General features: G+C 42.6%; 1 annotated feature.

The window, feature by feature from the left end:
* Positions 314-815: an enhancer, noted in NCBI's record as "OCT4-NANOG hESC enhancer chr12:106254933-106255434 (GRCh37/hg19 assembly coordinates)". NCBI's record gives its function as "activates a minimal SCP1, AML or CMV promoter by ChIP-STARR-seq in naive H9 embryonic stem cells {active_cell/tissue: H9 hESC(naive)}" and the evidence as "EXISTENCE:reporter gene assay evidence [ECO:0000049][PMID:30033119]".

Below are 9,636 nucleotides of genomic sequence, written 5' to 3'. Positions count from 1 at the left end.
GAGGGCCTAAACATGCTAGGACTATTCTAAGCACATTCTAGATACTATTTTATTGAGATTCCATCTCAGAACACTCTGCTTGGGTGGGTCCTAGTTTTGTCCCCTTTCTAAAGATAACAGGACTTATCCCAGAGAGTTGGATTGAGTTTTAATTCAATGAGTTAAAATTTATCAATCTTTTCCTGGCATACAGTAAGGTACATAGTAAATGACATATCTGTTAATATTATTTATTTTGCCCCCCATGGAGAGCCAGGATCCCCCAGATTCTTCCATGCATTTTGAGATGAGTTTGAGCCCCTCTGGAGGCTGCTTCAGATGCTCTGTGAATCACACAGATCATTTGGTTTACTTCTTAGTGCCCAGCTTAGCAGTGGGCACACAGTAGGAACTGGGGCAGCAGGTCTGGGCTGCACTTCCAGCAGAGTGTATGTGGGCCCTGAAGCTCTTTCACAGATATGGTTTGTTTTTTGCCCCTTGGATTGGTCCATAAACCTCAAGGGCTCTTCTGAATGACAAAGGCAGTGATCGGATCTGTTTTTCCTCCTGTATCCTGCAAATGGCTTTTCAGTGTGTCTGTCCCAGGTGGCTTGGATGTCAAAAGCCCGTTGGAGCCAGGCAGTTGTTTCATTGGTGAATATTGTTCTCCTTGGGAGTGAGCCCAGCCACCTCTCAGGAGTGCATGTCTCTGAGCATTGCTTGGTTCCAGCAACATGAATCTCAATTTCTTTTGACTCAACAGCAGTAGAGCCCTCCCTTGGAAGTTACACTGGGTGAAGTATTGATTGGAGCAGATGTAATGGGCTGATAAGCTTTCTGAGTGCCAAAGAATATTGGCTTCTTATAAGTGTCTTGGCATTTGTGGATCTCCTCTCATTGGGTCCTAGATGAAGCCCCACTGAGGCTGTCCTCTGTAATCAGCAGGGCAGGCTTCACCCTGTGAGATTGGGTTACACTTCACGCATCTGTCTCCCCAGGTTTCTGGGTGAAATCATTTTCAACCTGAATGCTTACTGGTTGACAAGCTACATACTGTCATCCCTGATGGATGGGATGGTGGGAGAAAAGCTACCACCTCATTAAGGGCACAGGTTAACTGAGGGTGATGGATTTTTCATAGCTCTGAGAAAGTCTACAAATCCTTTGTATAAACACTAGCTTGACAGTGAAAACAATTTTCCCTTCTTTTGTTGAGGGCAGCAGACAGAGTAAATATTGACAGATGGACAGGTGTGCTTTGCTAAGAGGCCCACGGCAGGTAAACGAAGCAGGGGAGGAATGCTTTGGTTGAGTCATTATCAACAAAGGGAAAGCCATTCTCTTTGGGCTCCATGTTTGGTATGATGGAGATTTTATGAGCCTGAAGAGGCAAGTTGGAACTTTGTAAGGCATTAAAGGCACATCTAGGGCTTGAATTTACCCACACCCACCCCGCCAAGATTCTGATGCAGAGGGCCTGAGGTGGAGCCCAGGCATCCATCTGTATGTTTACAAAGCTTCCCAGTGGTTTGGAGGGATGTGGTCCAAGGTGGTGAGCCCTCTTAAGACAAAAATGTTTGTGTTTAGTGTGACCCTACTCCCCAGGCATTTCCCAAATATGCTGTCTCGTCCTGAGAGCTTGGGGACAGTGTAGGTGATGCAAAGATACTACCTTAACCTAAAACTTTTAGAATGTTCAACTTGGACATTGCTGGGAAGAGAGCCTCATCAGGTACAAAGATGGATGTCCCAGTTGAAATTAAATTAAATTAAAATTAAAATCCAAACCCTGACAGGCCCCACTTGACCTGCCTACCATTCTATCAATCCCTCTGGCCTCACTGCCCCTTGCTCCCTGTACTTTAGGCTCCTGCCCTGATTAGCTCCTTTCTCCTCTGGCCCCCTCCACACATGCTATTCCCTCAGCCTGGATGCTCTTTTCCCGCTTTCTGTAAGGCCATCTCTGAACCACCCCCGGAGTTCAGAAGGTGTTCCCCATTATTCTCCCTCCTTATACCCTGTCTTCTTATTTATGAAAATGGTTGTCTTTTGCTTTTTGATCATCTCCCACATCATACTGTAAGTTCCATGAAAGCAGAAGCATTTTTTATTTCTACTACCATTGTGTCCTCAGAGCCCAGTGGACTTCCTGGCACATAGTATGTGTTCAATACAGGTTTACGTGGTGGTTGAATGAATCCACACAGAGCTGAATGAACTCACCATCTGTATTAGTCTGTTTTCATGCTGCTGATAAAGACATACCTGAGGCTGGGTAAATTATAAAGAAAAAGAGGCTCCACATGGCTGGGGAGGCCTCACAATCATAGCAGAAGGAGAAAAACTGTTCTTATATGGCAGTGGCAAGAACTTCCATGGCAGTGGCAAGAGAACTTACATGGCAGTGGCAAGTTCTTACATGGCAGTGGCAAGAGAGAATGAGAAAAACCAAGCAAAAGGGATTTCCCCTTATAAAATCATCAGATCTTGTGAGACTTATTCACTAAGAACAGTATGGAGGAAACTGCCCCATGATTCAAGGATCTCCCACCGGGTTCCTCCCACAACATGTGGGAATTATAGGAGCTACCATTCAAGATGAGATTTGGATAGAGACATAGCCAAGTCATACCACCATCCATCCTCAAAGGAACCTAGAGACCACAGCCTGATGTTTCAAGAGTCCAAGCTATTTTTTCTAAGAAAGGCACAGTTAGTGTGAAATAATGAAGTCGCATTCTTGGCTTCCTTGGTCAATGGCCCTCACAGTCTTCTGGCATTGCTTTTTCCCGTTGAGTCAGCTCTCTCCCATCTCATTCTAGGCTCCCCCGCCCACCTTCCCTCACTCATGCCATGCCCTTGTTTCCTTCTTTAGGGAAAATCACAAGCCACTGAGAAAACTCCTCTCAATGTTCTCACTCCTTTCTCCTTCCCTTCTTCATTTATGTCCATATCTTTCCTACCTTAGAGTCTCTCAGAGGCTGAGATGTCTTGTACTGAGGGTAGAACTAGGTCTGGGAAGGGGGCTGGGAGACACATGGGTCCTGGAAGAAGCTGGTAAGCAAAGGACAACCTCTAATATTTCCAACTGCCTTTAGCACCCTCTGCCTTCTAAATTAGCCTTGGTGGGAAAGTAGAGGCCCACTCCAGGTGGGGGCTACCATAAGCCATCTCTTGTCACCAAATCCTTCCTCTGTATATGCCTTTCCACCAAGTCATATGATACAGATGAAATGAAGTTTGCCTTCAAGGGGTTTAGAGTCACATTTAAGTATCAGGTTAAGTACCTCAACCTTGAAAAACACACACACACACACACACACACACACACACACACATAAACACACACACGTGACAAAAAAATAAAGATGGGCAGAAAGGGGATCCATTCTATTGTTAGATCAAAAATTTAAAAATATAAACCTAATTGAATTCATGCTTTATGGAAATGGCTTTTAATTGGTGAATCAGATTAGCACAGTAGCATAAGATGGCAGGAAAGACAAGAAGATAAGGAATTTGGTTTGTATCCTACTTTTACTATTTGCTAGACTTTGTTAAGTCACTTAACCTTTGATCTGGAAACTAGGAATAATTTTTAATTTTTAAGGATTAAATAACATTCTTGAAGTGAAAGTTTCTGGTACAAAGTAAGTACACAGAATAAAATTAGGTCACATTTATTGGGTGCTTACTATGTGCCAGAAACTTCGAGATGCTTTGCCTTTGCTAACTCATTTAATCCTCACAACAGCTCCATAGATGTTTCCCTGCTTTACAGAAATGGAAACTGAGGCACAGAGAGGTGGCAGAACATACCAGCAAATGGGGATTCAGAATTTTTCTACAGGGGCTGGACCGTCACCACCTTTCCACAGTTCCCCTCTGTCCGTAAAAAATTGCTCTCTCTATGCGTTAGTTCATCAGGGTTCTTCTGTATTGAAATGAGGGAAGAGATGAAAATAGTATCACTTTAAATTTTTCAGCATGAAACTGGAAGGCAAAAGCAGATGGGTATGTCCTGGGATTGAAAAAATAAGTTGAGCACCTCATGTTTTTCAAAATATTTCTTAATAAAAGAAGTAGAGACTGTTTGAATTATAAGGGCTGTCATCTGTCATGTAAGACATCATTCCCTCTCTGCCAATGCAAAAATCTCCTCTGTTGGAATTTGACCTATTATGGGAGCTTCTTCTTGAGTGGGGCAGCCCAATGCACTTGAGTTTCCTTATCCTTTTGACATGCGATTGTTGCTGGTCCCTGGTGCCCTCTGTGCCCGTGGGCTGCACCTAGAAGATGCCATTCTCATCAGCAAATGGCTAGAAGTTCAAACTTACATGAGTCAACATTTCCAAGGATTTATAGTTGTAGGCATTTCTATTCCTACTGTCTTCACTAGATATTTACTGCAAGTGCCTGTGTCCAGGAATGACATTTCTATGTGGGCAACAGAGCTGACATCAGCTTAGTGTTTCCTGTTTCAGCCTGATGTTTCCATGGCTCAGTATTAATTGTGGCAGTATAGAGGGTTTTAGCATCCAGATGACACCTCAGAGCAAGAATATCTGCCCCCACCCTCCCACCCCCAGGCCCTGAAGTCACTGACACCTTTGACACCATGCTTCATCCTTTGTAACTCTAAACTAAGTTCTTCTGACTCCAAAAGGTCGGTGTTTAATTATTTCATTCATTTCCCCATTCATCCATGAATCCATCCACCCATCCATCCATCATCCGTTGTTCAACATGCATTCATCCATCCATTGGTCCATCATCCATCTACTCATCATCCACCATTCATCCATCCCCATCATTCATCTACCAATTCACTCATCCACCCATCCATCACTCATCTACCGTTCCACTTATTACCCATCATCCATCCATCCATAAATCCAACATCCATTCATCCATTTGTCATAACCACATACTGAGCACTGATTGTGAGCCAATCCAATTCTCAGTGCTGGAGAATTCACAGTGAATCAGGCACTTAGCTCAAGTCTACAAGGGGTCACCGTGTCACTCCTACCATCTTTTAGGTTGTACTTGCTCATACGTCATCTCCAAGCTTCCTAAACTTCACTTACTTACCACTTGTACAAATTCACAACTTTCACCTATAACTTGTAATGTCATTTGCTTAATATTTGTCTTTAAGTAAATTATCCTATTTTTAAAATAAGTTTATTTTAAGAGGAAGCTTTATATTACAGGTAACATTATACATTTGACATAAGTTGTATGTTTTCATAAAGAATTAAAATAGGTGCATACAATGTTCATCTCAGGTACCACCAATGGTAATTACACCACAGTTTGAGAAACTGAACTGTATCATGTTTGCCGCATAAAGTCACTCTGAAATGATTATGAACCCCATTTCCAAATGTAAATTCTCAAATGAGGTAATTCTTCTAAGGATACATTGTTGACAAGAGTTAGAATTTAAGACTGAAACTCAGATCTTCTGGCTGAAGGTCCAGAAAATCCATTAGAAGATGGTAAAGTTAATTGCATCAGTTGCCACCAACAGTTAAAAAATTGAACAGAATATAATAAGATGTAGTATATCACACTTAGTGTAGTTTAAGTATGTTTTTGTGAAGCTTAATCATGGCTTAAAATGTGTATCTTACTGTAGGGCTTATAGTCAAACACGTTTGAAAATCATTGCTTTACCCACAGTGCCATTTGGAAACTGGGTGCCCTGTTGGCAGTCTTGGCTGGAAAGCACTGCTGCATTGTAAAACTCCAGGGATTGTCCATTCGTATCATCATCAAATCTGCTCTACTGCCTGCTTTTATAAAGAAAATTTTACTGGAACACAGCATGCCCATTTGTTTATGTATAGTATATGGCTGCTGTTGTGTACAAATAGGGTTGCCATATTTAGCAAATAAAAATACATGGTGTCCTGTGTTATTCAACAACCCTTATTACAATGGCAGAATTGAATAGTTGTGACAGAGACTGTATGACTTGCAAAACAAAAAATATTTATTATTTAGTCCTTTGCAGAAAGTATCTGCTTATTTGTTCCCTGTATGGATGGTACCCTCTGGAATTGTGCAATGCCCAGGCTATGTAGTGCACATGGCAGCACTACAGCTGGCCAGTTGCCCCTTGGAAGCTGCTCTTCCTTCCAACTTCCTGTTCTTCCATTGCATTTCAGTGTTTGCTTCTCTTTAGGGCTCTGAACCCAGGTTGTGTGAACAAAGAGAGTTGAGCTTTCCCTCCTAGGAGCTGTCTTCCTAATGTGTCCCAGAACTGCCCCTTTTCCCTGCTCCTGGCTGCCCTCATCGCCACTGCTGCTCTTCCCAAGCCTCTGGCCCCTTAGGACATATGAATGGAGGTATTTGGACCCTTGTTGTAATAAACTCTGAGTGACATCCTTAAACAGAGGAATGGGGTTTGGGAATAATGTGAAAAACTGTGAAATTCTCCCAGCGTGAGGGGCCCAGCCCAGTTTTGGACAGTGAATCATGGCCTTGGCCAAGATGTTCTCATTAAAATCTCTGCTGACCTCCTCGGAGGAGTAAAAGCTATTGCCTGCAAAATAGGCAGCTTCTCAGCCTCCTCCTCCATAGCCCTGCCTCACTCCCTGGTGGTCTTATTCCACATATCCTTTCCATCTCTGTCCATCTTCTTTCTGCCTTATCTCAACTGGTGATGAGACCTGAACCTGGCCTGAGACCTGCCCATGTACAGTAACTAGAACGATAAGATAGAAGTGATAACTCAACTTCTTACTATAATCCTTGTCATTTCTCTTACTATAGATTTTTAAATTCAGATCATGCCTAGAATGATGCACTTGACTCCCGGATCCCACGTCAAGGCAAGCACCAGGAGCTGGAATGGTCTAGAAGATAGCCAACAGTATGGCCAAATGCCAGAAGGGTTTTGTTTTGTTTTGTTTTGGCACATTTGAGTGGTTTGGGGTTTATAGAACGTTAATGTTGGATGGAATCTCTAAAGAAAGACCACGCAAAATCATAGTGAAAAAGTGGCTGCATGGTTCACAGAAAACTTGGATGTGAACGTAGGTTGTCTTTCAATGTATCCATGGGATGAAACTAGTAAACTTTCTTTGCTTTCTGTTTCTAGCTTTTTCACTGTCATTGCTTTTGACATCACCATCAACATGATATGGTCTACATAACTATTGAGTGCTCACTGTGGACCAGCCACTGGGGTAATCACTTTACATACATTACCTTATTTAAACATCATAACAACCCTATGGGGTAGGTATCATCATCCTCATTTCATAGAGTTGGAAACTAAGGCATTGGAAAGTTGAACCACATAGCTAGTGATATCAGACTGGCCCTTGACCACAAATCTTTTGAAATTTATACTGAGAGTGTGTGAGTGTGTGTGTGTGTGTGTGTGTGTGTGTGTGTGTGTGTCCACTGCTGGCTCACCTGTGCCTAGAAAATGTCTGGCACATAGTAAGTGATCGATAAATATGTGTGAAGTGAATGAGTGAATGGCACTAAAGTTGGTGCTCTTGGTCATTTTGCTGGTGGGTCTCAGACTTGGCTCATCATTGGAACTGCTTCCACAACTTTTCAGAATACAAATGCTACAGGCCCCTCTGGAGATTCTGAGGTGAGGCCCAGGAATCTGATTTTTAAACAATTTCCCAGCAGATTCTGATGCAACCAGCTCAGCCTCAGGCCTGCAGACCAAAATTTGGCATCCACAGACGCCACACCATCCTGCCTCTTGAAAAATTTGCAACTTTTTAATGCTTCTGCAGAACAAATAAAACCACAATTTATGCTTCACAATTCGTATAGCTCATCTCATGTCCTTCTGACAGACTTTTCACATTTCAGAATGTTACAAATTGCTTTCTTTTCTTGGATACCAGGATATAACATTGGATCTTGGGAGGCAACTGACTCTCTCTGATGAAGCCTCCAAAAGTTACACAGCTATTTCTTGCTCTCAGTCTGATTCTCTTTCTACTAAAGAAATCAGCCTCTCTTGTTTATTCTAGAGGAGAGAAGACTCAGGGGGCAATTTAAGTACCTTTGAATATCAGTGACTCTGAAGGAGGGGGACAAGCTTGTTCTAGTTACCCCTGGGGTAAACCTAAGGCTGGGATGGTCTGTATGTCTTATTTTGCCAGGCGAGAGTTCCAGGTTACCCCTATTTTCCGGATGCAATTATTAATAGTTCTCCTATTTAGTTTCAAGCATGAGCCTGTATTTGGACAATAAATAATATGGTCATTCCATGTAAGACCAGAAAGAAAAGACCTACAAGGAGATAAATTTCTGTTCTTTACAAGGAAAGAATTTCTAAGGGACGTGAAAAAAAAAAAAAATGAAATCAGGCCGCCAAGTTAGGGAGTGAGTTTCCGGTTTCTGGAGTTGTTAAAACAGCCGGCACATGGCTATTTGTTGAAGATAATGGAAAAGAAGTCAAGCATCCGGTGAACATTGGAGGTCCCTTCCGAATAAGTGTCCAAAATTCTCAGGGGACGTCAGATGCTGTGGTACCTGTGCTGTGCTAGGGGCATATGTCACACCCACACCCACATGGAAAGATGCTGCAAACAGCAGAGACTTCCCTTCTCCTTCTTGGCAGGCCATCTCATGGTCAACCAACACAAGATGTTTTCCCACTACTGTAGAATTGGAGAAGGCTCAAGGTATTTAGGATTTGGCTCTTAACCTCACACCCAAGGTCCAGTGGCCTCTGCCGAGTAGGCTGGGCAAATCTTCAGGATGTGAGTATACTAGAATAGACTTCCTTTCCTGAGAGCCAGAGCCACATCTGCTTCCATCCGTCTTTGTGGAAAGTGCACTAAGTTTAGGCCACCCCTCTGCTCCCCACCCCTGGTATCCCCAGGTCACTGGGCATGTGTCCATTTGACCTTTGGTGGAGTCTGACCCCTGCTTACACTATCTCAGAGCTGTGAAAAGTGTTAGGGAGTTTTCCAACATTCTTCAGGGAAGTTATCACTTGCAGCCCTGCCCTTCTTCCTATTCCCTACATAGCCAGAAACTAAGGCACTGGTTTGTGAATTTGTCTAAGATTACACGGCGCATTGGCTTCAGAGTCAGGGATCCAAACTCAAGATATCCCGGGGGAAATTTGGCCGCAGTATCACACATATTCCCAAGTGGATCCAGAAGTGGGCAGAAACAAACTGAAAGCTCCTAGGCTGAAACATTATTTTATTCCTGTTGCAGGATTGAAGCTTCTAGTCTCCTTGACTACATCAGGTTAGGAAGGAATGTGAAACAGATAGTATCTGAGTTCAGGTTTCGTTTTCGGATGAGAGTTGCAATGATTATCTGAGTAAGTCTGTTAATCACATACGCTATCTGGAGATTGCTTTGCTGTTCTTACTCCTCGAAAGAGTGAAATTTGAATGACCAAAAAGATACATCAAATACATGGAATTTTAGCATTAGATATGGTCTTGAAGTCGTTGATGCTGACATTTCTGCTAGTGTAGGAAAGTCTTTTACTATGTCCTTAACAAGTGGCAAAATTATATTATTTTCTTACACTACAGATGACTTTTTATATTTTTAATATTTTATTACTTTCTATTTATAAAAGTATTGTATACTCATTGTAGAAAATTGGAAAGTGGGCCAGGCACAGTGGCTCACGCCTATAATCCCAGC

Source organism: Homo sapiens, chromosome 12, assembly GCF_000001405.40.
Source record: "Homo sapiens chromosome 12, GRCh38.p14 Primary Assembly".
Taxonomy (NCBI): Eukaryota; Metazoa; Chordata; class Mammalia; order Primates; family Hominidae; genus Homo; species Homo sapiens.
This window is presented reverse-complemented; position numbering and strand designations above follow the sequence as displayed.